Source organism: Homo sapiens, chromosome 15 (assembly GCF_000001405.40).
Source record: "Homo sapiens chromosome 15, GRCh38.p14 Primary Assembly".
In the NCBI taxonomy this organism is placed as follows: domain Eukaryota; kingdom Metazoa; phylum Chordata; class Mammalia; order Primates; family Hominidae; genus Homo; species Homo sapiens.
The window spans coordinates 75023590-75051226 of NC_000015.10; the positions used below are offsets into that span (position 1 = coordinate 75023590).

The 27637-nt window shown below is 51.5% G+C and overlaps 1 protein-coding gene across 7 annotated transcripts, besides 13 other annotated features; it reads left to right on the forward strand.

The window, feature by feature from the left end:
* PPCDC (phosphopantothenoylcysteine decarboxylase) lies at positions 1–27137 on the forward strand. Of its 7 annotated transcripts, NM_021823.5 has the most exons (6): positions 1–37; positions 4658–4864; positions 19852–19947; positions 20797–20925; positions 24964–25132; positions 25561–27137. In NM_021823.5, the coding sequence occupies exons 2-6, from the start codon at positions 4730–4732 to the stop codon at positions 25644–25646; spliced, it is 615 nt and encodes a 204-aa protein (NP_068595.3). In that variant the 5' UTR covers positions 1–37; positions 4658–4729; the 3' UTR covers positions 25647–27137. The 7 variants fall into 7 exon arrangements, 6 of the variants coding, with proteins under 6 accessions (NP_068595.3, NP_001288030.1, NP_001288031.1 ...); NR_125369.2 differs by lacking the exon at positions 4658–4864; NM_001301101.2 differs by lacking the exon at positions 20797–20925.
* Positions 5589–5778: an enhancer, noted in NCBI's record as "active region_9820". NCBI's record gives its function as "activates an Ori minimal core promoter by ATAC-STARR-seq in GM12878 lymphoblastoid cells {active_cell/tissue: GM12878}" and the evidence as "EXISTENCE:reporter gene assay evidence [ECO:0000049][PMID:35858748]".
* Positions 7835–8335: an enhancer, noted in NCBI's record as "H3K4me1 hESC enhancer chr15:75323765-75324265 (GRCh37/hg19 assembly coordinates)". NCBI's record gives its function as "activates a minimal SCP1, AML or CMV promoter by ChIP-STARR-seq in naive H9 embryonic stem cells {active_cell/tissue: H9 hESC(naive)}" and the evidence as "EXISTENCE:reporter gene assay evidence [ECO:0000049][PMID:30033119]".
* Positions 10290–10483: a silencer, noted in NCBI's record as "fragment chr15:75326220-75326413 (GRCh37/hg19 assembly coordinates)". NCBI's record gives its function as "represses an EF-1alpha promoter that drives an FKBP-Casp9 reporter gene in an ReSE screen in HepG2 liver carcinoma cells {active_cell/tissue: HepG2}" and the evidence as "EXISTENCE:reporter gene assay evidence [ECO:0000049][PMID:32094911]".
* Positions 12836–13336: an enhancer, noted in NCBI's record as "H3K4me1 hESC enhancer chr15:75328766-75329266 (GRCh37/hg19 assembly coordinates)". NCBI's record gives its function as "activates a minimal SCP1, AML or CMV promoter by ChIP-STARR-seq in primed H9 embryonic stem cells {active_cell/tissue: H9 hESC(primed)}" and the evidence as "EXISTENCE:reporter gene assay evidence [ECO:0000049][PMID:30033119]".
* Positions 13686–13924: a silencer, noted in NCBI's record as "fragment chr15:75329616-75329854 (GRCh37/hg19 assembly coordinates)". NCBI's record gives its function as "represses an EF-1alpha promoter that drives an FKBP-Casp9 reporter gene in an ReSE screen in phorbol 12-myristate 13-acetate-treated (for megakaryocytic differentiation) K562 erythroleukemia cells {active_cell/tissue: K562(+PMA)}" and the evidence as "EXISTENCE:reporter gene assay evidence [ECO:0000049][PMID:32094911]".
* Positions 19278–19367: an enhancer, noted in NCBI's record as "active region_9821". NCBI's record gives its function as "activates an Ori minimal core promoter by ATAC-STARR-seq in GM12878 lymphoblastoid cells {active_cell/tissue: GM12878}" and the evidence as "EXISTENCE:reporter gene assay evidence [ECO:0000049][PMID:35858748]".
* Positions 19458–19767: an enhancer, noted in NCBI's record as "active region_9822". NCBI's record gives its function as "activates an Ori minimal core promoter by ATAC-STARR-seq in GM12878 lymphoblastoid cells {active_cell/tissue: GM12878}" and the evidence as "EXISTENCE:reporter gene assay evidence [ECO:0000049][PMID:35858748]".
* Positions 19458–20691: a biological region, named in NCBI's record as "CDK7 strongly-dependent group 2 enhancer GRCh37_chr15:75335422-75336621".
* Positions 19492–20691: an enhancer, noted in NCBI's record as "CDK7 strongly-dependent group 2 enhancer chr15:75335422-75336621 (GRCh37/hg19 assembly coordinates)". NCBI's record gives its function as "activates an origin of replication core promoter dependent on BRD2, BRD4, P300/CBP, MED14 and CDK7 cofactors, with strong dependence on CDK7, by STARR-seq in HCT116 cells {active_cell/tissue: HCT116}" and the evidence as "EXISTENCE:reporter gene assay evidence [ECO:0000049][PMID:35650434]".
* Positions 19808–20167: an enhancer, noted in NCBI's record as "active region_9823". NCBI's record gives its function as "activates an Ori minimal core promoter by ATAC-STARR-seq in GM12878 lymphoblastoid cells {active_cell/tissue: GM12878}" and the evidence as "EXISTENCE:reporter gene assay evidence [ECO:0000049][PMID:35858748]".
* Positions 23203–23252: an enhancer, noted in NCBI's record as "active region_9824". NCBI's record gives its function as "activates an Ori minimal core promoter by ATAC-STARR-seq in GM12878 lymphoblastoid cells {active_cell/tissue: GM12878}" and the evidence as "EXISTENCE:reporter gene assay evidence [ECO:0000049][PMID:35858748]".
* Positions 23263–23412: an enhancer, noted in NCBI's record as "active region_9825". NCBI's record gives its function as "activates an Ori minimal core promoter by ATAC-STARR-seq in GM12878 lymphoblastoid cells {active_cell/tissue: GM12878}" and the evidence as "EXISTENCE:reporter gene assay evidence [ECO:0000049][PMID:35858748]".
* Positions 23573–23632: a silencer, noted in NCBI's record as "silent region_6663". NCBI's record gives its function as "represses an Ori minimal core promoter by ATAC-STARR-seq in GM12878 lymphoblastoid cells {active_cell/tissue: GM12878}" and the evidence as "EXISTENCE:reporter gene assay evidence [ECO:0000049][PMID:35858748]".
* Positions 27138–27637: the final 500 nt, after the last annotated feature.

Sequence of the window (27637 nt, forward strand, 5' to 3'; positions counted from 1 at the left end):
GATATTTGGGAGCGGCCCCGAGACGCGCCTGGCGCGGGTGAGCAGTGGAAGGGGGCTGGGAAGCTGGGTTCTCGCGGCGGCGCGGGAGGGGAGGTTCGGGGAGCTGTGTCCGCGAGCGTGGGTCCACGGCTGTCTGTGTGTGTCCTTATTTTCCCCTGTGTGCCCATGAAGCTCTGTTTGCGACTGTGCGTGGGTAGGCGGCCGTCCATCTGTGCGACCTCACTTTCCCGGCTGTACGGGTGGGGCCGCCTGGAGCAGGAGGGACCCCCGAGCCCTGAGTGGAGGGTTTGCATCTGTACCCGTCCAGCCCGACTTTGTGCTGCTCTGCGATTATTTGTCCAGTGTCGTTTAATCTAGTTTAAATGATGGCCGTGTCAGCTCCTCACACTGAACGCTTACCCGGGCTGCCCAAAGTACAAAGTGTATTTAAAAAGTTGGTAAAATTAAAAAAGGAAAGCCATGGGATGTTGGAAGTAGCCCTAGGCCTGCCAAAAAGTGCTGAGTGCTATTTAAAAATTAGGCCAAATCTTGTCAGAAAAGAACTTCCTGCTGTCCTTGAAGTATTTGGAAGCAGGTGCTAGATGGTGAGCAGGAGAGGTTGCCAAGTTGGGGAAGTGGTGGTTGTCCTGGAGCAGGGGTTTCCACATCTCTCACAGTGGCTGGGAAGTAGCAATTCGCAGTCACTGCCTTTCTAGTAGCCCACGTGTGTGAGTGTGTGTGTTAGATACATTTATCCCTCAGTATCCGCAGGGGATTGCTGTATACTTTTTTTTTTTGAGACAAGGTCTCATTCTGTGACCCAGGCTGGAGTGCAGTGGCAGGAACATGGCTCACTGCAGCCTCGACCTCCTGGGCTCAAGGGATCCTCCTGCCTCAGCCTCCTGTGTAGCTGGAACCACAGGCATAAACAACCATACCCGGCTAATTTTTATTTTATTTCATTTTTGTAGAGACAGGGTCTCACCATGTTGCCCAGGCTGGTCTCAAACTCCTGGCTCAAGCTATCCTCCTTCCTTGGCCTCTCAAAATGCTGGGATTACAGGTGTGAGCCACCACATCACCCTCCTGTATACTCTTTTTTCTTTTCTTTTTTTTTTTTTGAGTCAGGGTCTCACTCTTGTCTCCCAGGCTGGAGTGTAGTGGTGCAATCATAGCTCACTGCATCTTCGAACTCCCTGGGCTCAGATAATCCTCCCACCTCAGCCTCCCAGGTAGCTGGGACTGCAGGCACGTGCCACCACGCCCTCCATATAATTTAAATAATCTCTAGATTACTTATAAAACCTGATACAGTGTAAATGCTATGTAAATAGCTACACACTTTTTTTTTTTTGTGGTACTATTATTATATTTTGAAATGGTCTCTCTCTGTCACCCAGGCTGGAGTGCAGTGGCACAAACATGGCTCACTGCAGCCTTCTAGGCTCAAGCGATCCTCCTGCCTCAGCCTCCCAAGTAGTTGAGACCACAGGCATGTGCCACCACACCTCACTAACTTTTAAATTTTTTGTATGGGGTCTTGCTATGTTACCCAGGCTGGTCTCGAGTACCTGGGTTTGCTCAATCCTCCCACCTTGCCCTCTTAAATTGCTGGGATTACAGGTGTAAGCTGGAGCAGAAGCCTGGGCAGCCGGTAGTGAGGGGCTTTGATGTTAGGCTAAAGGATTCAGGCTCATAATGGATCTTGGATCCCTGCCTACCCACCACCCACTTCCCTTGTTTGGTTCTGCTTTGTCTTAGGCTCAGTTCTCATCCTTCCTGTATTGAGCTTGAACGTATACCCTGTCTGGCCTTGCTTTCCTTGCTCTGTCTTTAGTCTGGTTCTGTGCCAGCTCCACCTTTGCCCATATAGGGACTGGCAGGTATCCCTGAAACCTAAAACTCTGCCCTGAATTAAACTCATCAGAGGAGACTTAAACATCACAAGCTGAGGCTCTTTGCTCTGTCTGTCCCTGTCTTTCTGGAGGATAGAGAAGCTGCCATTTTTCTGGCTGTGGCTTACCTGCTTGGCTAGTGCCCTGGGATCTTGAGGCTCAGTAATCAAAGCGTGTAGCCCTATAACCTGCCCACTTGCCAACTCTTTTTGCTGCTCAGGAGTTCCTGTGAATTCAGCAGAGCCCGGGGAAGTCAGGTACTACAGCTACCTGTGCAAATAGGTGACTCCAACAGGTTCTGGTTACAGTAATAGACTTACTGGTTTGGAATTTGATCCTCTTTGCAAGCAAATGAAGGAATCCTGCCAGCCATCACCCTTCCTGGAATTCTCAGGTTGAACTGATTGGACCTCGCCTCCAAATGTTGGTTAAATGATCCACTTTCTATTCTTCAAGTATATTAAGCACACACATACACACACACACCCTCTTTTTTAGGAAGGTAGGTAGGTTTGATCCTTAGCACAGCTTTGCTAAGCAGGCTAAGTACTGTATTTCGGACTATAGTGCCTGCTGTGGGGAAGCAGTTGAAGTCACTAATACAGATTCCTGCCCCAAGTTTAACTGACTGCTTTCTGTAACCTGTTTCCTAGGAATGAGATCAGCTTGATGTGGAGGAGGTTCAGGGGCCTCAGAGATAAAATTTGGCTTCTGGTTTTGCAGGAATCTACCTATCCTAGCACCAGTTGGCTAGGGTGGGACAGGGTCAGGGTTTGCGATCTGGCAGGTAGGTTTCCCTGGAGAATAAAGAATGTGCCTCCATCACCTACCAATGATGTGTTCTGGGAAGAAGCTGGCTGGTAGCCCTTCTGTACCTTGTCAGATTCTAACAGGGCTCCCCACTCCCTGGGGTAAACTCAGTTCTCCAACTCTGGCCAAGCATTGCCCTGGTTGGGGCCCTGCAGTGGAGCAGACATTGAGATTACTGGCAAATCAAACTTTGGGTGATCTTGCCCTAGGGAACCAGCCTGTGCTTAACCCCTGCTGAGAAGTGGGATAATGCAGCCAAACATGATCCTCAGCCCACGTGGGTTGTGCTCAAGTGCTGAAGGCAAATCCTGGGCAGAGAGGCTAGAGAGCCAAGGGGCCTGTGAGTGAAGAGGAGATAGGCCCCTGTGGATGCTCAGCCATGGAGGTAGCCATTGGACAACTCACCAGCGCTGCTTCCTGGGCAGCTGCCTGGGTTTCCCTTGCCATGCTGATTCTTTTTTGAGTGCATCTTCTAGGACCTTCTGTCTTGGAAGGAGAGCCCCTTACTGCTCTCTTTCATGTATTGACTCAAAGTTTCTGCTGGAAGGAGCTTCAGAGATCATCTGGTCCTACCTCTGCATTTTTCAGATGAAGGGACAGGTCCAGGGAGGGAATGACCCTGGACCAGGGTCACTCCAGGTCAGGAGCACACCATGGTCAGGGCCCAGGGCTTCTGCTTCACAGGCTAGGTATCTGTCTTCTGCTCACACTGCCTTGGAGGGTATAGTTATTCATTCAGCACCTGTTCAGGACTGCCGGCTAGTGGACTGCTGGTTGGCAATTAGACCCGGTCACACATTCAGGGAGCTTGCTGGTGGAGGGAGAGGCAAGGAAACTGATGTGTTAATTGAGTCTGTGATCACCAAAAAGGTGCATCCCAGGGAAGGACTGATCTCAAATAATTTCAGACAGGTGTCATTCCTGTCTTCTCAAACTCAACCTACAGATTCCCCAGAGGCAGCTACTGTGTTTTCCACAATTCCTTTGCATGGTGTTCTTTGTAATCGGTCCTCAGTGATGGTTGCTGATGAAGCACGTTCTGCTGGCCCAACCCGCCACGTGTAGGTTTTGGTGTCCATCAGCCATATTATCATGAGTGCACACTTCTAGCAACGTCTGAGAGCCAGAGGAAGAAGCAAACCAGCTAATCTCCTGGGGTGGCCTGCATCCCCTTTATGCTGGTTTCTTCCTGGGCTTTGATTTGTACGGTGGTGCCCATCTTGATTAACAGGGACAGGGACAGAGAGGCAAATCTCTTGGCTCCCTGGAGCACCCAAACCTCCCTGTTGCCCAGGGTTCCACCTCATGAGCATCTTTGGAACCCATCCCTTCCTGCCGCTTCCTTTCACCAGTCAGCCCAGTCCACCGCAGCAGCTCCTCTCGCCCTCCAGTCTCTCCACTAACAGGGTCCCTTTGACACTGTCACCAGGTGCCAGCACCGTCTTTCTAAAACCAAAACTCCTCACCCTGGCCCTCGCTGCCCACGGCATTCTGGCCTCACCCTGACTTTCAGTCTCACTTTCTGCCCCTCTACCACCCCCCATCACAGTCCGGCCTCACTAGTAAGCCACTCCCTGTTCCCCAACCTGCCACCCTCCTCAGGACCTTCACCTTGGCAAGATTGTTCCTTCCTTTGAAGTGATTTCTTCCTGTCTCTGAAAAACTAACTCATCCTTCAGGACTCAACCCCAATGTCATTTTTTCTGGGATGCAATCTCTGACTTCTAGAGATGGTCACCCTGAGCAGCCACGCACCTGGTACAGCCCTTCCCCACAGCACTGCATCATTCCCTTGTGACTGGCCCATGTGTGGGGAAGGTGTCTCACTTTCTTATCAAACTGTGTGCTCCCTGAAGCCAGGACTGCTGATCCCTTCCGCTGCCTCAGCCTCTGGCCTGGGGCCTAATACGTGGTGCTCCATACATTCTGGTCGACTGTATGAATGAAGGGGGTGGCCCTTGTTCTCCTTTTAGATCCTAAATCCCGACAGCTTTATAGAGCCCAGGCCTGGCAGGCTCCCAGAACTTGAAGCCACCAGACCCCACATGGAACCAAAGGCCTCCTGTCCAGCTGCTGCACCCTTGATGGAGAGAAAATTCCATGTTCTTGTGGGTGTCACGGGGAGTGTCGCAGCCCTGAAGTTGCCTCTTCTGGTGTCAAAGCTTTTGGACATTCCTGGGGTGAGTATCCTCACCAGATAAGCATGGCAGCCTCCGGCATGGGAGGCCGGTGCTCCCGGGGATGGCCCATTGCTCTGCAGTACATGCAATTTTCTTTTTCTTTATCATGTTAATCATGCTTGTGGAGGTCCTGTGTGTGTGGTGCTCTGTGGAGGATTCAGGAGACAGAGACCAGTGCCCAGTGTAACCAGGGGCTAGATTAGATAGTACAGACAGGGCATGAGGGGAGACTGGGAAAGGACCCAGTGAACGGAGGGTTTGGGCTCCCATACATTAACCCTGAGAATCCGTGAAGTCCTGTGTGGGAGGAGGGCTGGCTGGAGAAGTGCAGCAAGTTCTCAGTATCCCCTCCTGCCTTGGGCTTCCCCATCCCTGCTTTCATTCCGCCTTGAACACTGCGGCTGTGTTCTCCCTCCTCGTGAGACCTCATGGTTGTCTTGTCAGTCAAATGCTCTGAAACCCCATTGTCTGAAGCTCTAGGTTCAAACTTTGCTCCTTCAGGTGTTCAGAGCTGCCCCAGGGGCCCCCGACTGTGTGCTGGGGTGAGGGACTCTAGCCCCCGTCCTTGGCCAGACCCTCAACTTGGATCTATTTTCTATATTGGGGTTCTGGTGCAGAAGTTCAAGGCTTTAAACAGCGTGAAATCTAACAGGGAGTGGCCCCACTTCCTAGTTCCACCTCCAGGGCCCTTAGTTGGTCTGTCTTATCCCCCTTGGTCTTTGCGTGGCTGGGCCCTGCTAGGCTGGCTGCCCTCTCTGCTCCTCTCTCGCCTTTTCACATTCTGTGCAAAGCCTTCCCTGTCTGCCCCAGCCCAGCCCCTGTGGTTTTGGCCCCTTCTTTTAAACTTATTTGACATAGAACTATAGGTTGCCTTAGACACTGCTGGTGTTACTGGCCCCTAGTTTTTGGTGGGGTCTTGTGAAGTTGCTGGGCCCCAGGCCTGGCTTTTCCCTCTTGTTATCAGCTGAGCACCCAAGGTGCAGTGGCCGTATCTGGCATGTCCAGCAGGGGGCGGTGCTTACTCACAGATGACCACGTGGTCACATCAGCTGGGGCTGGGCTGGGAAGTGTTTCACTTTTTTACTTTCCACCAACTTCCACCCAGAAAGTCACCCCATCACCCCACCCCCAGGGCTGGGATAAGCCATGAAGCTGCCAGCCAGGGATGACAGCCAGGCCAGAGTGGGGGAGGGAGGAGAGTCTCGTGGCACTCTGACACTGGGTGCTGCACTTTTAGGGCAGTGCTGCTTAGGCCCAGCCACCCGCTGTGTACCCAGAAGCATTGGTAGGAGCTGCCCAGCTAGAGCCGTGAGGGTGGGAGGCCTCTGCCACCACCCCCTGGGGAGGGAGGGAGCCATGCAGTTCCCTTTTCCCATAGCCCCAGGGCAAGTGAGTTTCCGGACTAGGGGTGGATAGGGGCGGGGAGTCCTATCCCAGGAAACAGATGGGCAGCCTCAGAGCGGAGGGAAATGGCAACCCTACCGCTTCCTCCCATCCCACGCAGCCAGCGTTTGGTGGGAGGGGGGTTGTGAGGAAAGGGTTGCCTGGAGCAGGGAGGTGCTCCAGCCCACCCCAGGGCCTTTTAGCCTGGGCCCCATGGGATGGCAGGCCATGTCTGGAACAGGACTTGGCTTCCCCTCTCTGGTTGGAGTTGATGCCAAAAGTGAGGCAGCCAGAGGGCACTGAACTGGGAGGGAGGGCTCCCCGACTCAGCCTCTTGGAGCTTGCCTTTCCCATTTGAAAATAGGGCTGATTCCTGCTGCCCATCCCCCAGACTCTTGTCAGGCTCCCTGAGATGTTGGCTGGGGTGGGAGGGGTCACAGATGAAAATGGTCCTGTGCCAGTGACTCAGCACAGAGCCTGGCATGTTGAAGCACTCGGTTGTGTGTGTTTCCTGGCCATCACCCTGTCCTTTCCCCTTGTTCATGTCCTTTGGGCCAGCCACATGGTGTGGGGCAACCCCACTGGGAAGAGCCATGGAAGCCACAGTTCACCTGCTCTTGTGGAGGGCCCATGCCTTTCATCTGCAGGGAGACAGCTCTCCAAGCCTGGCCTTGCTTATTAGGGCCCTCGTGAGGTGTTGGGATCCAAAGGTAATCCCTGGATTGCCTTGTGTTGGCCCCAGTGGTGGCGTCTATCCCTGCACACTCCCCTTCACTCCCTGATGGCCCTGATCTCCACATTGCCTCCTGCTGGATCTCCTGCAGGAGCATCATTGTCCCTTGGAGCAGTCACTTTCAGCTCTTCACCTGCTGAGTCGTGGGTTCAGGTGCTCAAGGCTTTCCGGAACTTCCTTAGGTACATCCAGATTTTGTCTAGCACATGAACAGCTGGGGTGTGGGCTGCAGGGAGCTGGGGGATTCTACAGATCTGGCCCATCACTGTTCCTGATTGACCAGTATGTCCAGACATCCCGGGAAAGCCGCTAATGTCAAGGTAGCCAAATCAGGGAGACTGTGAGGGGTGGTGGAGAGACATGGATTAGCCACAAGCCACACACACCAGCAGTCAGGGAGAGTAGTCACTAGCAGAGATGACCTTGAGTATGTTGGGGCAGGTGGGCAACCGTGTCACAAGAGAGGCAGCTGAGCACATTTCTGACGCTGGGACCCTGGGCAAGTCCGTTCTTTTTGGCCATAATTTTCTTATCCACACAGTGAAGGAGGGGCAGGTTCTCAAATGATCCATCTCCAGGGCCTCTTCTGGCACTGGTGTTAGAAGATTCTAGATGTGAGGGCAAAAAGGACTAGGACCCAAAGGCAGCCTGAGAGAAGGTCCTGGGGCTCAGGAGCTTCAGGATGCCGGGGGTTTTGTAGTTCCGTAGTTGTCATGTAATTGAGTGGCAGTAAAATCCGGGTTGTCAGCTCAGGCAGTTTCTTCCCTGGGGTTGGCAGCCTGGCCCATGCAGGGGAGCAAAAATGGCTTTCCTCCATCTTGCTAGGCTGCTTGGCTGGGCTATGAGTTCAACTGACTTATAAACAAAATTAACAGGGCCGGGCGCGGTGGCTCACTTTGGGAGGCTGAGGCGGGCGGATCACTTGAGGCCAGTTCGAGACCACCCTAGCCAACATGGTAAAACCCCAGCTCTACTAAAAATACAAAAATTACCCGGTTGTGGTGGGCGCCTATAATCCCAGTTACTCAGGAGGCGGAGGCAGGAGAATCGCTTGAACCCAGAAGGCAGAGGTTGCAGTGAGCTGAGATCATGCCACTGCACTCCAGTCTGGGTAACAGAGCAAGACTCCATCTCAAAACAATAACAACAAAAAACAAGATCAACAGGAGAAAACCATATTTAGTTACATATCTGCACATGGGTGTACCACAAAATATGAGATTCCCAGAAGGGTGAGATGGCTGAAGCCTGTATAGCAGCCTGAGCTACAGAAGGAAATAGGGGCTTGGGGCTTCTGGGGGTGGTGGCGACACAAGTTATGGGAGGGTGAGGGGAGGAATTATACGGTCTTGTTAGGCAGATAAAAACCTCTCAGATAATAAAAGATGCCTCAGCAGATTGTCAATAAGTCAGTCTTCCTTTCTCAGGGAGGGGGACTCAGGACAAGGGGAATCCCTCTTTAGGCAGATAAGAGAAGTTCAGAGAAAGTTCCTCCCTGCATTTGTTTTTCCCCCAGTGCCTTCAGGTTTGAAATAATCAGCATACCAAAGCCGCATATTATGGGGTGGCATTTCCTGAACTCCTTCATCCACACCCTTCAAACTTGGGAGGAGAAGACAGACATCGCCCTAGCTTTTGCCAGGGCAGGTGTCAGCAGAATTCAGAGCCAAAAGGGGATTTCTAAAGATAGAGAAAACCCCCAACTCAAGGAGTCAGCAGGCCTCGGGCTCAGAGAAGGATACATTTCTAGGGTGTCTGTCAGGACATCCAGGTCTGTCGAGGGTGAGGAAAAGAAGGCTCTGCTCATATGCAGTGTGGAGTAAATTCTGACTTTCTGGAGGACCACTTGACAATATTGAGAGAAATTAAAACATCTTCATAGTCCTTGATTTACCCACAGGATTAAACTCTGTGGGGTGTATTTACAAAGTGAAAGGATGTCCATTATAGCATTATTTATAATTTCAAAGCAAAACTGGAAGCAAACAAAATATCCAGCAGTAGAGAGCTGTGGTGCCCTTATGATTTATGGGACAATCTCTCAGTGGATTACTTGGCAATGATTCAGAAAAATGGGGTGGCTCTCTCTGTGCTGAAGGGAGCAATCATCAAGATGGAAGCGGAATAAGCAGGGTGTAGGAGCTAGCAAACTGGACCCCCCCCCCCAAGGCCAAATTCGGCTCTGCCTGTTTTTGTATAGCCTACAGCTAAGAATGATTTTTACATTTTAATTTTTATTATTTATTTTTGAGACAGGGTCTTGTTCTGTTGCTCAGGCTGGAGTGCAGTGGTGTGATCACTGCTCACTGTAGCCTTGACCTCCCAGGCTCAAGCAGTCCTCCCACCTCAGCCTCCCAAATAGTTGGGACTGCAGGCGTGCCATCACACTCTGCTAATTTTTTTGCATTCTTTTTGTAGATACAGGATTTTGCTATGTTGCCCAGGCTGGTCTCAAACTCCTGGGCTCAAGTGATCTGTCTGCCTCCACCTCCCAAAGTGCTGGGATTACAAGCATGTGCCACTGTGCCTGGCCTGATTTTTACATTTTTAAATGATTAAGTCAAAAGAAAAATAGTATTTTATGACTCGGAAAAAAAGTGATATGAAATTCAGATTTCATGTCCAAGACAATTTATTGGAACACAGCCATACCCATTCATTTACGTATTGCCTATGGCTGCATTCGTGCTACTACAGAGTTAAATCATTACGACAAAGCCTAAAATATCATCTGGCCCTTTATAGAGAAGGTTTGCCGACCCCTGGTATGCAGCCTGATTCCTTCTGTGTGTTCTTATACTGAGTTACTGCACACAGTTTTTTCCTCTGGAGGTGGTTACCCTTGTGAAGGGGGACCAGTGGAGGAAGGGAAACTTGCATTTTTCATTTTTGTATCATTCTGTTCAGTTTTAATTTGTAACCTATGTGTATATTTGTGTGTGTGTGTTTTTTTGTTTGTTTGTTTGTTTTAAGTCAGTGGGGCTTTTGGTGGGAATATTGGGGAACATTCTTGATAAGTTTGTGCTTTTTTTTTTTAAAGTGCTCACTGAGGAAAGAGCAGAAGACATAAGGCCTGGTTTGAGGATTTCTCTTTTTTTCTGGGTGGGGGCCACCTGCCCGCTCTGTGTCCTGATGTGGAAACTCTGAGACCTTTATTTGTGCCTCTGCCTGCTTGGCTGGCCCCTTCCTCCTCTGGCCTGCAGCCCTGTCACCTGCTCCTCTAGGGACAGAGCTCTGTCGGCCTCTGGGCAGAGGGTCCCGCACCCCAGGGTCCTTCCCTGATTGCCCAGAACAACGTTCCTGTGCAGAGCCTCCCTAGACCACCTCCCTGGTTTCCTTCTTGAGAATTTTCTGAAGTTGGGGAAGCACACAGAAGGGTTGGCATGAGGAGCTGACACAACCAGAACACCAGCTCCCCCAGGGGCAGATGAGAGCACGACTGTTTCCTGCAGAGCCAGGTGGGAAAGGTCAGGGTCACAGAAGGGCTGGGGTGGTACGGTGAGCTAGATGGAGCCCTACCATGTGGTCTAAATGGCCCATGCATGGGTCATAAGGGGAAACCAGGCACAGAGGAAGAGGGTCTCGCCCACGGCCTTCCAGGGAGTGAGTGAGTTAGCAGAACTGGGGGCTTGAGGCCAGGTTTCCTGGGTCCTATCAGTGAGTGAATTGAAGAGCTCAGACCTGGAGCTCATTCTCTGCTCAAGCTCACCAATGCTTGAGGATGGTGGAATTTGTGGATTCCTATCTTGGTCTGCCTTGCAGTTAGGGGTTACCTGTACCCCACCTATCTGTTAGACTGAGCCCTAGGAGAGGCCAGAGCTTGGATCTTATCAGCCCTGCCCCCACCATATAAGAGGCTTAGTAAATGTTTGCCGAGTAGAGGCATCATCATGAGCCATGGAACCCACTGAGCCAACCGGAACTCCCTTGGGGGTTTTGTTAAGGAGGCCACCTCCTTCACAGCTCCCGCGCCTCATGTGCCAACCGCACTGGGCCCCAAGAATCCTTTGTCCTAGAATGTACCCACCAACTCCCCTGCTCAGGTTAGTGTCAGCTTCTTAGCTGGCCGCTAGGACCTGGGCACAGATCTGGAGCATGCCATCGTCAACACTGGTAGACCCAATGTCAGAGTCCTCTGCTGTGCGTCCTGGCCCAGAGGACTGGGCCACCAAAGCCCTGGGTTCCTTGTCTTGTCACAGATTAAGTGCGGGGCTACCACTTCCTCTTTAGAATCCTCCTTGGTCTCCAGTGGAGGCATCATCACGCCCTACTAGAAACGCCTGCTCTCCAGCCACTCAGCTGCTAGTTCCAGTTGGGCTCTTCTCCTTTTCTTGTATATGCCAGAGCTGTGCTATCTGATATATTTAAATTTTCTTGTATATTCCAGAGCTGTGCTATCCGATAAATGTAAATTTGAATGTGGCAGCCGCTTGCCACATTCAAATTTAAATTTAAATTAATTAGAATTTAATAAAAAATTCAGTTCTTCAGTCACAGCAGTCACACCTCAGATGCTCAGTGGCCACATGTGGCCAGTGCTGCCACACCCTACGGCACAGGTAGGGCCGTTCCCATCATTGCAGAGATGGAAATGCTCTTCACGGATAATGCTGTAGAGTTGTGGTTCTCAACGGGGGTGATTTTCCCTCCCAGGGGACATTGGATAATGTCCAGAGACATTTTTGGTTGTCCTAACTTAGGGATGGTGGTGCTACTGGCTCTTGGTTCTAGTGGGTAGAGGCCAGGAATGGGCTTGGCGGTGGAGACTCAGGCCATGGGATTTGTCTCATCCTGTGGCTGCGAAGTGCCTCTCCACGAGTTCCTTTGATAATCTGCCCCAGACGTAGCCTGGCCACACTAGGGGCCTGAAGTAGAAACGGGAGGTATCACTCTAAATCCTCATTCCATTTCTCCTGACCAGACCCAAATCAGGATTCCTGATGTCTCTTCAGCAAAGAAAAGGAAACTAGACTTGCCAACTGGTTTCGGGAAGGAATCTCTATACATGCTAGATAAAATGCAGGCAGCTTATGTAATAGGGTCTGTCCAAGCCTCAGTCACATACACAAAGAGATTTAGCTTAAAACTATTAGCTGTAAAAACTTTTCTCAGGTAGGCTGAGCGTGGTGGTTCACACCTGTAATCCCAGCACTTTGGGAGGCTGAGGTGGGCAGATCACCTGAGGCCAGGACTTTGAAACCAGCCTGGCCAACATGGTGAAACACTCTTTCTACTAGAAATACAAAAATTAGCTGGGCGTGGTGGCGCACAACTGTAATCCCAGCTACTCTGGAGGCTGAGGCAGGAGAATCTCTGGAACCCAGGAGGCAGAGGTTGCAGTGAGCCGAGATAGTGTCATTGCACTCCAGCCTGCACAGAGCAAGACTGTGTCTCAAAAAAAAAAAAAAAAAAAAGGAAAAAAACTTTTTTCTAAGTGGTGTCAGCAGGGGACTAAGCCGGGAGCTGCCTTTCAGGAATTCTGTAGCATATGGGGGATTCTTTTTTAATGCCCAGCGCTGCTTCTACCAGGACCCACAAAGGTGTAAGAGAAAGCCAAGGAAGGCTCCTGCCCTCAGGGAGTTTCTGCCCTGCCAGGGCTCCTTGGCATTTGCTGGGAAAAGGTCAAGGTAAATGAGTAAACGGTCAGAATTATTTAGTATCATAGAAGATAACACATGGTTTTATTTATTTATTTATTTATTTTAATGTGTACAGGGCCCAGCCCTTGGCTCCCAGGACCTTTTGGTGGAGTGAATGAAAATAAAAGAACAAAGCCCATAGGGCTGATGAATCAGATCAAGTGACATCCCTCTAAAACCAGAAAAACTAGTCTGGGCCTGCTAGACAGCACTGGGGTCAGTCAGGGTCACCTCCAAGGAGAGTCAGCTGCTTCAGTGGGTCAGAGGTGGGGCATCAGGAAAGACCCGCCCATCACATACTCTTCGCATTACTCCTTAGTGAAGACCTTGACCCCAGGAGGCTCCCTAACAATGTGACTGTAACCTGGGAGGGTGGCTAGAGAGTGGAGCCTCTGAGAGGTTAGGCAAAGAGCTTAGAGGGAAGATCTCAAGCAGGGTGAGAGGCTTAACAGGACCCCGGGTGGAGCTCCCCAGGGGACAGTGGGGGCCTAAAGGCTCTGAGACCTTGAGTGACGGTGTAGGGAAGGAAGAAAGGGTAGAGTTGAGAGGGAGGCGAGAACCCCTGAATCAAGGGCATTACCAATTTGGGGATGATTCTTTTTATTTTTTTATTGATGGATGATTGATTGATTATTTTTTTTTTGTAGAGAAGGAGTTTTGCCCTGTTGCCCAGGCTCATCCCAAACTTCTGAGCTCAAGCAATCCGCCCGTCTCTGCCTCCCAAAGTGCTGGGATGACAGGCATGAGCCACCATGCCTGGCGCCCAATTTGGGGATGATTCTGAAGGCCAGCACTAGGCAAGGTTCTCCGCTTTGCAAACTGGAAGATGGTTTTGGGAGCTGGGGAGAGTGGAGGACCTAGACCTTCAGGAAGTAGCTTTCCAAATTTCAGAATAGAGGCGATGAACCTGGGACATTCTTAAGTAGCAAATGGTTCAGGATGGTTGGGAAGCTCTTAGAAATGAAAGATGGTGGTCCCATGAGCAGAAGCAGGCAGTGTATTAGCAGAGATGTGGTCTCTGGCTACCTGAAGCCTTCTGTTGAAGGAGCTGGAAAACAGTTAAGTGGAAGGGAGGACATGTAACCAGAGATGAAGGAAGAATGTGGTCCAGAGCCCCCCAGGGTGAGCTGAAGCTTATGGCAAAACTCAGGAGGCTCGAGAGGGCTGTTTTATGTATTTGGAAGAAGAACAATGAAGCAGTGTCTGGTGCTGGAGGCCAGTGGTAACATTAGCAGAGGATAAGAAGAAATGGGAGGGGCTGGGCGCGGTGGCTCATGCCTGTAATCCCAGCACTTTGGGAGGCAGAGGCATGTGGATTGCCCTAGCTCAGGAGTTCGAGACCAGCCTGGCCAACATGGTGAAATCCTGTCTCTAGTAAAAATTCAAAAATTAGCTGGGCATGGTGGCGCATGCCTGTAATCCCAGCTACTTGGGAGGCTGAGGCAGGAGAATTCCTTGAACCTGGGAGGTTGCAGTGAGCCGAGATTGCGCCGCTGCACTCCAGCCTAGATGACAAAGTGAGACTCTGTTGTTGTTGTTGTTGTTGTTTTTAACAAAGAAATGGGGGGATTCTTTGATCTCATTTTGTTCATCTTCTCTTTTGAGCTTGTGGTGGTAGGAGGGACCTGAACCGAGGCTGGGTGATTCATCTCCTGTCCTGGGCAAGTTCTCTCCTGGGGTGCTAGGGTACTGTGGTTGGTGACCTACAGGAAGTGTGGGAAACGTCAAAGGGGCCAGGGGCAGGAGATGGCTAGTATCCATTTATCAAAAAGGTGAAGGAGGTGAGCTCCACAAATTGCTACAGATGAGGCTTGTAAGTGCTAAGAAAAGCTAGATTGGGATCACTAGGAACAAGGCATATCGATTTTAGTTTATGTTTTGGATAGTAGACAAAGTATTTTTCGATTTAGATGAGGCCTTTGATGGAATCCTAGGACCTCTCCCTAGACCACCTGGGGATGTTGTCAGCATGTTATAGCCAGTGAAAGATCCAACTTGGAAAGAGTTTCTTCTTGGTTCTTTCTCACCCCTTGCTCTGCTGCCACACCCACGCCCGTGGACATTGTGGGTGGCCTCTGCCCTTGACTTTGTTCTGTTCATAATTTGGATTAGTGTCTCTGGGGGCTACTGATGGTGGTGCTGGCTGAGAGGAGGAGCAACAGGATTGAGCTCTCAGGAGCTCTCTGTAGGCTGAGCAAACAGCAGACCAACTCTGGTGAGGGGAAGTTTACCAGGGACATGTGAGGGACAGCATTTGGGACCAGAAAAATAACTGCTCAGATACAGCCTGGCGCTTGTGGCTTAGTAGCAGCATGAATGAGAATAATTTTTTTGAGTTTTTGCTGATTGCAAACTCCATACATCAGCAGAGGGATGTGGCCACCAGAAGAGCTGCTGTGGGCTCAGGCTGCACCAATAGACATGACGCTCTAATTTCTTCATGAACCTAACAGTGGGGTTGCCTTCTCCGACCCCTGGAGGCAGAGTAAATGGCTCTCACCTGTGGGTTCGTCACTTCTGGGAAATTTAATTTAATTTTTTTTTTGTAATTTTCTCCTATTTTTCTGTTCTCTCTGGAACTCTTTAATCGTCAGATTTTTTAACCTACTGAATTGATTCAATTTTCTCATCTTTTTTCTACTATTATCCGTTTCTTTATCTTTTTTTTTCTCCTTTCTGGAAGATTTCTTTTAGACTTGTGTTGAATTTTTTATTTCACTGTTTATAATGTTAATTTCTAAGAGTTCTTTTTTGTTCCTTGAATACTCATTTTAAAAAGTGTTATGTTCTTGTTTCTTGGGTGTAGTCTCTCATCTTTAAGTTTTCTTCTCCCTCTATTGTCTCTGGGTTTCTATTTTCTGTTTGTTTGTGTAATCTCTTTCTTGCTAGAGGACTCTCCTCAGATATCTGATACTCCTTGGCTGTTCTTATTTGGGTGCCAAAAGTTGATTGGAAACTCTGTCTTCACTGCCAGGGACTTGGTACTCATCTGGTATTGAAATGTTTTGTTGGTGGACCTCTGAATTCCATATCTGAAGGTTTCCTTCCCTACCACATCTCCCTACTGCCAGGGTTATTTGTTTTTTCCAGAAGGACCCTATCAGTAGTCTCCTGCCTGGTTGACCTTGCGTTCTTAGGGTCAAGTAGGGGAAGCAGGCTTGGGTCTCTGTTTGGTCTGTAGATACTCACTTCTGCTCCAGGACTCCTTTGACCTCTGTTGTGCTAACTCTGCAAGGGTAGTATGTTTGGCTGCCTTGGGTGGGAAGAAGACCTGGGGGGACTTTAGCTGTTCCTTCTACAGGTCAGGAAGTCCTCCTGTATTCAGCTATCTGCCTCATGCTCACCTTTGTGGTACTCACTGCCTCAAGTCCTAGGCTCCTGGGCTCTAATTGGCTTGTGTCTCAGTTACTGTGTAGGCTTTGGATATTTTCTTTTCTCATCTAATCTAATCTTATCTTGTAGGATCTGCTCTGCTAGTGCTTCCTTTCGCTTCCATCTTCTGAAAGCGCATTGGCACGTCTTAACTGCTGTTGGTTCCTCTTCTTTTTGTTCTTGAGAATTTACTTCTTTTCTTTCTTTGTTTTTTTTTTTTTGAGATGGAGTTTCACTCTTGTTGCCCAGGCTGGAGTGCAATGGTGCGATCTCAGCTCACTGCAACCTCCACCTCCCAGGTTCAAGCGATTCTCCTGCCTCAGCCTCCCGAGTAGCTGGGATTACAGGCATGCGCCACCACACCCGGCTAATTTTGTATTTTTAGTAGAGATGGGGTTTCTCCTTGTTGGTCAGGCTGATCTCGACCTCCCCACCTCAGGTGATCTGCCCACCTTAGCCTCCCAAAGTGGGATTACAGGCGTGAGACACCATGCCCAGCCGTTCTCTTCTCTTCTATTCCTTGACAAGGTCTCACTTTGTCACCCAGGCTGGAGTGCAGTGGCATGATCTTGGCTCACTGCAGCCTCGACTTCCTGGGCTCAACTGATCCTCCCACCTTGGCCTCCAGAGTAGCTGGGACTATAGGTGTGTGCCACGATGCTGGCTAATTTTTTTGTATTAGAGATGTGGTTTCACCACGTTGCCCAGGCTGGTCTTGAACTCCTGGCCTCAAGCAATCTGCCTGCCTCAGTCTCCCAAAGTGCTGGGATTACAGGCGTGAGCCACTGAGTTTAGATCGTTTTAAAAAAAATTACTTTACTTTTATTTTAATGGGCTTCTGGGAGGGAGCAGAGTTTACCTTATTTAACTAAAAGCTTTTTCTTCTATTTAACCTTTATATGTTCTTTTGCTTTAAATTTATCTTTTTATACAAGATATTGATGGATTAAACAATATCCAAGATAAGAATCTGAATTTTAATACAGAAGATGAGCCTGTTATATATTTACTATAATTATTATTATATTAGGATTTACCTATGCTGTCTTATTTAATGCTTGCTTGCTTTTTATTTTTTTATTTTTTTATTTTTTTTGGAGTTAGGGTCTCACCCTTTCACCCAGGCTGGAGTGCAGTAACTTGATCTCTGCTCACTGCAGCCTCTGCCTTCCCAGGCTCAAGGGCTCCGCCCACTTCAGCTTCCCGAATATAGCTGGGACTACAGGCGCACACCACCATGCCTGGCTAATTTTTGTATTTTTTGTAGAGATGGGGGTCTCACCATGTTGCCCAGGCTGGTGTTGAACTCCTGGGCTCAAGCAGTCTGCCTGTCTCGGCCTTCCAAAGTGCTGGGATTACAGGCATGAGCGTAATCCCATTACTGCTCCCGGCCAAATGCTTTATCATATATTCTCTCTGCTTCTTTTTCTCCTTTCGTATCCTTTATGTGTAGATTGAATTTCCTTCTGTGGGTTTGAAAGGTAAAGGTTATTCTTCTTATGGTTACCATAACTTATTGTGCCCTCTTCTTTACCTCATCACTATCTTGTGTCTTCCCCACGAAAGAGACAGGGCCTTCAGCATGGCCCCGCCCTGCCCTGCTCTCCCAACCTGTGCTGGCCCAGTGGCATCTCCAGGACTGGGTTCCGGGGAGGGATAATGCAGCCCTGCTCATTTGCCATCTTACTCAGAACTGGGCAAGGCTTATTCAGGGCCATCCTAGGGAGACTCCAGCATTCAGTGGGAGTTTGGTTTAAATGACCTCTAGGCTGGGCATGGTGGTTCATGCTTGTAATCCTAGCACTTTGAGAGGCCAAGGTGGGTGGATTGCTTGAGCCTAGGAGTTTGAGATAATTCTGGGCAACATGGTGAAACACTGTCTCTACCGAAAATACAAAAAATTAGCTGGGCATGGTGACATGCACCTGTAGTCCCAGCTACTCAAGAGGCTGAGATGGGAGGATCACCTGAGCCCAGGGCAGTTGAGGCTGCAGTGAGCCATGATCACACAACTGCACTCTATCCTGGGCAATGGAGTAAGACTCTGTAAATAAATAAATAAGTGATGGACCTCTGAAAAGGTCCTTGAGGTTTTTTTGCAGGTTCTGGGCATGGTAGATCCTAAGGGGGAGTGAGATGGAGAATGGACAAGTCAATAGAACTCAGAACGCCAGACTTTCTGAAGTTCTTCCTCAGTCTTCTTCTCTGAGACTTCTACTCCTTGGTCCTAGCTTTGTTCCTAGGCGCTGTGCCGCTGTGTCATCCACCCTGCCCTGTACAATATGCAGGAAGCAAGCGAGGAGGGGGTGCCTCAGAGAGACAGTAAGGAGGAATGAGGACAAGGTGGAATTGGCATGGGCACGTCCTACAGAGTGAGAGGCAGGCCTTAGGGCACCACGTCGCTCTCACGTAGGAATGTGTGTCCAGCAGCGCCTAGCCTTCAGCTTTTCACAAGAACTCAGGAAATTGAATTTTCTATGCGAAATCTTCCAACTTGGACATGTTGGCTCAAAAATGTTAATAATCTTGTGTAGGCCAAACAGCATGTCTATAGGCTGGGTCTGGCCCAGACATGGCCCATGACTATAGCTCTGGCTGGTTGATGGTTCTGTCCTTGTCACCCTTGACTTTTCTTTCTTCTGGATAAATGTCCAGAGAAACAAATGTCCTCTCCTGATTCATTGGTTTCCCCCAAAGATGTGGTTCCCTATACACCCCTCTCCCCAACAGCTACTTCCTCTGGGCCCCTGTACTTTGCCAGCTCGTTAGTCTAAAATCTTGTTTTACAGGCTGGGTGCGGTGGCTCACGCCTGTAACACTAGCACTTTGGGAGACTGGGGCGGGTGGATCACCTGAGGTCAGGAGTTTGAGACCAGCTTGGCCAACATGGTGAAAAACCTCGTCTCTACTAAAAACACAAAAATTAGCCAGGCGTGGTGGTGTGCACCTGTAATCCCAGCTACTCGGGAGGCTGAGGCAGGAGAATGGCTTGAACCTGGGAGGCGGAGGTTGCGGTGAGCCGAGATCATACCACTGCACTCCAGCCTGGGCGACAAAGTAAGACTCCATCTCAAAAAAAAAAAAAAAAAAAAATCTTGTTTTACAAATGATAGCCAACCCATCTAGTGCCCTTCACACTCCTGGGTGCTGTTTTTCACAGCCATGTGTTCTGTTAAGCAGATTGCAGGCAGCCCTGGTTTGCGTTAGTAATTTCTTAGTGAATGGGTAGTGTACACCAGGTAAACCTCATTCTCACCCCATGAGTGTAGGGCACACACAGGCTGGGTTCTCCAGGAGCCTGTCTGCAGCCTGTGCCCACGAGGACTTGTTCCTAGAAGTACGTGAAGGGATACTGTCTGCTTTCTCTTCGGGTCATGCATGCACAGAGGACATGCCGCGCCCCAGCCCCCAGCGCCTTGGCCTGCAGAGGGCAGAGCTGCTGTGTGGCACAGAACTCAGGACCTATGAGCCTCCTTGGGTGGCCCCTCCTGCCTGCTGTGGCCTCTGCGGCCCTGGCCTTGACTTCCTTTCCTGTCACTTGCGTGCCTCTGCCACTGGGCCTACCTCTGCCCGAGTGGCAGGAGCTTGCAGCTTTGTATATACGGGCAGTTGGTGACTCATTCCTCAGCAGCCCCTCAGATAGGGAAGTGAAACAGCCACACCTGATAGGGCCTGACCTTTGGGTGACAGCAGAAGTAGCTAAGCAGACATGAGGCTTGCAGCTAAGGAGGGAAGTCCTCTCTCAAGCCAGCCTGTGAAGACAGCACCTGCCTGCCCTGACCCTCCTGTGGCCTCCAGGCCTGTGGCTCTGGTAACAGTTTCTTCCTCCCTCCCCGCCACCCCCTTCTTCTTGGTGACAGCTGGAAGTAGCAGTGGTCACAACTGAGAGAGCCAAACATTTCTACAGCCCCCAGGACATTCCTGTCACCCTCTACAGCGACGCTGATGAATGGGAGGTCAGTGCTGGGGCCCCTGGGCTGAGTTCCATTGAGTTTCCACCAGCAGGACAGAACAGTCCTCCCTACGGCCTATGGTCTGGCAGCTGGAACAGACAGGCTGGGCTCAAGTCTGTGGTCAGGGCCCTCTGGGCAGAGGCAATGAAGAAAACATCTGTCTAGCTTCTGGCCTGCAGGAGGCCCTAGTCTCCTCCCGGCCCAGGCAGAGCTGGGCTTTGGCCTGGTGCCTGAGGTTGAGTGTCCTTGTACTTATCTGGGCTGATGAAACCACAGAGGAGCTCTGTTCCCACCACCCTTGTCCACGTGGTTCCTGGCGTCAGGGCTGAAGAGAACGCCTCACTTCCCACGGCCGCCGGGCTCTGCTGCATCTCCCCTGCGGATGGGTGGGCACTGGCTGATTCACCAGACGCTGAGTGTGGGCCTCACAGGGGTTCCCTGCCAGGCATTTTCAAACATTCTTAGCCTAGAACATTTCCGGCTGGCCTGTCTTCCCCGCCCCCACCCCCTCCATTTCTCACTGCCCCGGAGCTTTCCACTGGCTTGGACAACCCAAGCATCCGCCTCAAGCAGACAGGCCGGGAGCTCCCTGCCAGATGTCAGTTCTCTTGAAAGCCAAACCATGAAGGGAATAGCTCAGAGAGACAAGGGGCACTTGTTTCCTCAGGCCTGGTTCTCTCGGCTGCTGGCTCCATGGCTAGCGCTCGCCAGCTTAGCTGCAGGAGGGAACGGAGGTTGGCCTGGGCAGGGCAGGTCAGTGGGTTCCTCAGTCTCCTGACTTACCGTACCTGGCCTGCCTTGGCGCTGCATCCTGCTTCCTCCACACTGACCCCTTTTTCTTCCCTCTGCCAGATATGGAAGAGCCGCTCTGACCCAGTTCTGCACATTGACCTGCGGAGGTGGGCAGACCTCCTGCTGGTGGCTCCTCTTGATGCCAACACTCTGGGGAAGGTGGCCAGTGGCATCTGTGACAACTTGCTTGTGAGTGATGTCCTGGTGCCCTCGTCCGTCCCTGGGCCTCACACCCAGTTTGCTGAGCTGCAGACATCCTTGTACAAGGAGACCTGCTGCTGTGGGGCCCCGGTCTGCCCAGGGAGATCGTGCTCCGCCATTCCCCACATCGCCCCCAGTGCTCTCACCTTCTCTGTAGCACATGGGCACAGCCCTGGTCCTGATGGGTCAGTGTGACCTGCCACTGCTCCCCAGGAGTGTCCCCCTCTCCCCTGCCCTTGCACCCAGCCAGGTGCCCACAGGAAGACCCTTCTTCCTTGCTCTTTGTCCCTCCTCGTGGGCTGCCTGGGTGTGCTCTTCCACTGTCTCTGCCCAGCCCCATCGCCTCCCGCTTCAGCTCTGCCTTCTCCGCAGATCTGGGTATACACGTGGGCAATGTAATTGGGGGTTCACTTCTTCATAGATGGCTCATATACACTTTATCACCCTTGTAGCTTTCCTGTATATTAGGGGAAGCTTAGAGGGGAAGAGGGGAGAAAGACGGGGCAGTGGCGAGAGCCGATGGGTGGTAGGGAGAAATGGAAGTCCAGCTGTCCAAAGTGGGCACTGTCCTAGGCCTAAGATGCCTCCAGGGAGCTGTTGCCCTTAAAGGGGAGCTGCCTTTGTTTATATGATCGTCCTGGGAAGATTTGGGTGTGATTTCTCTCCTCCTTCTCCCTAATTGCCACCCCCCACCTCATTTATTGAGCTTTCGCCTACCACGTACTGTACTGGGGTCTGTTCTGAGAGCCTCACAGGACACAGGGAGCTCCCAGGCTGGAAGGAGAATGCCAGGCTTGATCACCCATGCCGTTGGGAAGGGAGTATCCTCTGGTGAGGGGTACAGTCCTGAATGACCCCAGTCAGTCCTTTCTATGGAGTCACCACCTTGCATAGTGCTGGGCCTGTGGTAGACATCCAATAAATACTTACTGCATGTATGCGGTAACTAGCAGTTTTACTTTTGCGAGTAGCTGGGAGTTTTTCAGAGTTTCATGTGGTGAAGAAGGTGGATGATGAAGCTGGGACAGGATGTTTTTTGGGGTCACAGATTAGTGTTCTTGTATACTTGTCAATGGGCTCTTAAGGCACTCCTCAAAGAATCTGCCAGTGATTTAAGCATCATTTGAATAAGAGCACAGGGTGAGCAGAAGAACAACTTGTGTGGCCAGGAGCAGGGGTAGGGAGTGCAGAGAAGAGAGAGCCTGGGTGCAATGTCATCAAGAAGGCTTTCCCTATAGTCCCAGCTACTTGGGAGGCTGAGGTGGGAGGGTCGCTTAAGCCCAGGAGTTCTAGGCTGCGGTGCCCCTTGATTGTGCCTGTGAATAGCCAGAATAGCCAGTGCGCTCCAGCCTGGGCAACATAGCAAGACCCTGTCTCTAGTTAAAAAAAAAAAAAGGGAAAAGGCTAGGCATGGTGCCTCATGCCTATAACCCCAGCACTTTGGGAGGCTGAGGCAGGAAAATTGCTTGAGCCCAGGAGTTTGAGACCAGCCTGAGCAACATGGTGAAACTCCATCTCTACAAAACATATAAAAAAAATTAGCCAGGTGTGGTGGTGCATGCCTGTGGTCCCCAGCTACTCAGGAGGCTGAGGTGGGAGGATCGCTTGAGTCCAGGAGGTCAAGGCTGCAGTGAGCTGTGATTGTGCCACTGTACTCCAGCCTGGGCTACAGAGGTGAGACTCTGTCTCAAAAAAACAAAAAGGCTTCCCAGCAGCACTGGTGCCACAACTGACATGGCAGCTGCAGCTAGAACAGTTGAGTTTCTTGGCTGCTCTCATCAAATTGGGTCAGAGTTGTGTGTGGCCAGCACCATCTCACCAAATCTCCAGGCTCCCTGCTGGCGGGTCAGCAGCAGCTGGTGTGACAAAGTACTGGCCTCTGGGAGCTAAGCCCCGGCCTGGGCCAGCTCTGCAAGGGCGCTTTCCTTCTTCCTGCAAGCTCTGCTTCCCCTTTTCCTTCTAAGCTGCCATCACTTCATGAAATCCCTGGGCTTCCCTCCTCCAGAGTTGGCTGGGAAGTGAAACATGTTCCCAAGACCAGCCCCCAGATCATTTGCCTCAAAGGTTTTCCCTCGAAGTCACAAATGTTTCAAGGAATCTCAAATTTTACAAAGTTTGAAGTGTGGGCATTGGTGGCCTGTGGCTGTGTCCTCTCTCTGTAGCTGTTTTCTCCCTACATCCCTGAAAGGAAGTTGAGCCTGCTCCTCCATCCGCAGACCTCCCTTTCCAGCGCCCAGGGCATGGGGTGCTGTGAGGGCAGCATGCTAGGTGTGACCGTGCTCCTGGCCTCCAGGCCCGTGTCCCTCTGTCCTCTAGCCCACTAAGGCCCTGGCCCATTTGTGCTAAACAGGCAGTCGGACCTAGAAAGAGCAGACAATCTCTCTGGGTCACCAGTCTGGCTAGGAGCTGGTCTCCTGACTGGGATCCAGGCCTTCTCCCCTGCCCATGTGAATTCCCAGGGGCAGAGCCTGAAATGTTGAACACAGCACTGGCCAAAGAGATGTCACCGTGGGAACCGAGGCTCTCTTCTCCTCCTGCCTGCTTTCGTGGGTTCAGAGTAGCTGAGGCTTGTCTGAGAGGAGTTGGAGTGCTGGTTTTCACCCTGGTTGGTGTGCTTTGCTTTGAGGGCACTTAGAAAGCCCAGCCCAGCCCTTGCTCCTGCCCTGCACACAGCGGAGCGACTTTTCTAGGTATGCTCTTGATTTCTGCAGAAGCAGCAGGTGGCATGGAGCCAAGAGGAAGTGTGACTGAAACTGTCCACTCATAGCCCGGCTGCCGTATTGAGAGGGCTTGGTGGGAAACTAATGCTGGTGGCTGATGCAAGCAGCCAGGTCCCAGGGCTGTTTGCTGTCCTGCTTCCTCCCTGTCCCTGGGACTTGGGGGAGGTGCTGGTCCTGTCCTGTCGGGGCATTGTTCTCTGGACTCCTTCGCTCTTTTCCCAGATGAGCTTCCCTTCAGGGGAGGGGTTTCCAGCCTGTTACCCTGAGGAGCTCACAGCCCTGGAAGAGGTGTCTGGAGTAGTCAGAGCACTGGGAGCTTCTCTCTCCCCCAGGCGGCCCCCAGCCCAGGGAGCCTGTGCCTGTGGGAAGCCCAGGAGTCACTGCCCTGGAGCCTGTGTTTTGTGCCTGGCCCTGCGCTCAGAGCTTTGTAGCCATTCTCACCTCAGTCCTCACAGCTGCCCAGGGAGGGACCTTTCTAGAGAGGAAGCCAGGCCCTGGCCTTCAGTCCCATGTCCAGGTTCTCACAGCTAGTAATACACACACAGCTAGTGCTCTCACAGCTAGAGCACAGTCAGGATTTGAACTCAGGGCTACGTAATTTCAAAGTCCGTGGCACAAAGGACTCTGTGAGCTGGATGGCTCCTTTCACAACTGCTCAGGTCTGTGGCTTGGTGGGACGGCCTGGATTTGGGAGATGGTGAGGCTGTGCAGTGGAACATTGCCTGGGTGGTGCCCATTGTCCGGGTGTGGGCGTGGATGACTGCTTACCTCTCAGGGAGCAGCTCCCTATCTGTGAAATGGGACAGCACCTTCTTTATAAGGTCTCAGTGAGGGTTAATGAGATCCTATATATGAGAAGGTTTTGGTAACGGCAGATGTTTTCATTGCCAGACTTTAGTTGGCCTCGGAGAGCTGATGTCAAGTAGATGAGCCCCACCTGAGGAGCAGCCTGGTCCTTTGCTTTCTGGTGCAACCAAAAAAGCCTGCCTTCTGCTCCCCAGGGTTGCTTTTCCCAGGAGGTGTGAGCCTACCTGGAGGAGGCTTAGGCACAGGGATACCTGCTGGAGGTCTGAGCGTTGGTTGAGCACCTCCTGTTTGTAGGATCCTGTGCCAGAGCCTGTGGGGAGGTGGAGAGAGGCGAGGAGACATAGCCCCCACCCCTGAGGGATGAGACAGCTCCCTGCAGGCAGGCTGTGCCCAGTCATCTCAAGCCTACAGCTGGGCTGCTGGCTGCAGGGTCTGGAGGGCGGTGGGGAGGGTGGCAGACAGAGTAGCAAGACCCCCACTTCCCTGGCCTTCTTCACAGACCTGCGTCATGCGGGCCTGGGACCGCAGCAAGCCCCTGCTCTTCTGCCCGGCCATGAACACCGCCATGTGGGAGCACCCGATCACAGCGCAGCAGGTAGACCAGCTCAAGGCCTTTGGCTATGTCGAGATCCCCTGTGTGGCCAAGAAGCTGGTGTGCGGAGATGAAGGTGGGTGTCTTGCCAGGCTTATAGCCCAGGGCTGTAGAAGGGGCTCAGCTTTGGGGTCATATCTCAGTTCAGTTCCTGGCCTGTTAATGACCTTAGCAAACCATTCTCTGAGCTTAGCTTTCTCAGCTGGAAAATGGGAATCGTAATTCCTGCCTCCAGATTGGTAGGGTAAAATGGGGTGGAATGTGTAAAGTACCTGGTAGAGTCCCTGGCACGCAGCCCACACGCAGTTAAGGATGGCTACTGGAACGAGTCCCAGGGTCTTGCCAGGGGTCTTGGGAGAGATCTGATGTGTCTGGCTCAGGCAAAGACAGACCTTGCCCTCTCAGGCCTTGGGCTCTGGGTGGAGCACTTGGAGCAATGGGCAGGGGTCTGCAGGGCTACAGGCACTGTTGGCCTGTCTGGCCACAGCGGAATTTTGCTCCCAGGTCTCGGGGCCATGGCTGAAGTGGGGACCATCGTGGACAAAGTGAAAGAAGTCCTCTTCCAGCACAGTGGCTTCCAGCAGAGTTGACCTGGGATTTCTGTCATGGGTGTCCCTCTGTACTCAGAATGGGTTCAGGCCAAGTCGGTGAAGATGGATGTTGGCAAAATAGGAGGATACCCTCATTTGCTGAATGGGGGACCTGCTCTGAGCCTGCCCAGGGGCCAGGCCTGCTCCAGGTTAAACTGGACGGAAGGCCCAGGTCTCAGTTTCTTTCAACCAGGAGAGGCCGCTGCCTAGAGCCCCTCCCCACCTTTTCCTGGATGGGTGAGGCAAGCCAGGAGAGCAAGCAGTGTTGTCCTCACGGGAGGAGGACTGAGCGACTGGGAAAACTCGGCTCTACATCTCACCCAGAACGGCTTTTAGAAACACCACAGCTGGAGAGTCCTGGCTGAGCCTTGGGAGTTTCAGCTCTTTGGCGGGGTGCCCAGGTGCCATGCGATCAGCGAAGCCTGCGAGTTGGCAGGACTCTGAGGTTTCCTGCAGACCATGCCATGAGATTGAAGGTGCGGGGAAATAAAGAAAAATCACCATTTAGGAGACTCCATTCTTTCCCTACAACCCAGCTGTGGTCCCAGAGATCAGGGGGTGTTGCCAGGTGTGGCTGGGGAAGGGTCTGGGTTCACAACTCACCGGCACTCTTTAGTCCCCGTATAACATGGTGGTTAAGGATAAAGATCTGAAGCCAGACAGCCCCTAGTTCCAATCCCAGCTCTGCCGCTTACTAGCAGTGGCAGTTTGGTTCAGGACTTAGCCTTCCTGACCTTCACTTACCTCAGCTATCTTGTTATCCTACCCTCAGGGAGTTGTTGAGAGGATTCAGTGAAATTTTGTGTGCAGAATACCCATGCCACTGAGTGCCTGGAACGTAGTAAATGTCAAATCAATGGAAGTTAAAACTAGGCATGCATATATGCCAGAGAGCTTTCCTAGCATTTACTGCAATGCCCTGTCTCATTTTGGGAAAAAGGAAATCCTGGATGCTAAGTTGACACATCCCTTTATGCAAGTGACAGGTAAGCAGCCAGGAGGGTTGACCCTGCCCTGGGTCCCAGGCCTCTTGCCTGCTTCTTGGTTTCCTCTGTTCTCATCCTTTCAGCTTTGCTGGACCTGAGGCAGGGGCCTGGGTGTCTGTGCCTCCCTACCCCCCAGTACACATGACCAAGGGAAGTAGATCCAGAGACACCATGCACTCTGGCCCAGAAACCCTCTGCTACCCAGCTTTTGACTTAATTGCCATTTGGTGTGGCTGCAGCGGGGAGGGCTTGTCTGCGTATTTGGAGCTGAGGCTGAGGCTGGCTTCCTGCCCTCTGGCTTCCAGGCCAGGTGTGAGGGACATCCCATGTGGGCTCTGAGAGCACTGAGAGTAGAGGTGCCTTGAGGGGACCAGGAAGCCTACTGGCTGGAATCAGTGCTCCAGCAGCCTCCACAGCCTTTATCTCAACAGCACTTGACTTCACCAGGTGACCCTTTGGGATAAAATTGCCTTAGGGTATGAAATAAACTATAACTAAAATGGTAGCATCAAGAACCAACTTCTTTGGCTGGTTTGGGGATGGGGCATGGGGAGAACCTGGGTAACTGAAACCCGGAGACGGTCCCAAAAGTCCATTTACAGGGTTTCCAAATTCCTTCTTGTCCACATTGCCCTTCCTCTCCCTCAGCAACCCACTAGTAAATGGTGAGGCTTCCCAATTTTATTTTTATTTATTTTTTGAGACGGAGTCTTGCTCTGTCCCCAAGGCTGGAGTGCAGTGGCGCGATCACAGCTCAAGCCATTCTCCCTCGTCAGTCTCCTGAGTAGCTGGGATTACGGGTGCCCGCCACCACGCCCAGCTTATTTTTGTATTATTTGTAGAGATGGGTTTTGCCATGTTGGCCAGACTAATGTTGAACTCCTGACCTCAAGTGATCTGCTGGCCATGGCCTCCCAAAGTGCTGGGATTACAGGCGTGAGCCACCGCGCCCAGCCGCTTCCCAATTTTAACAGAAACTGATAGCATTTTCTGAGTGTTCATCGT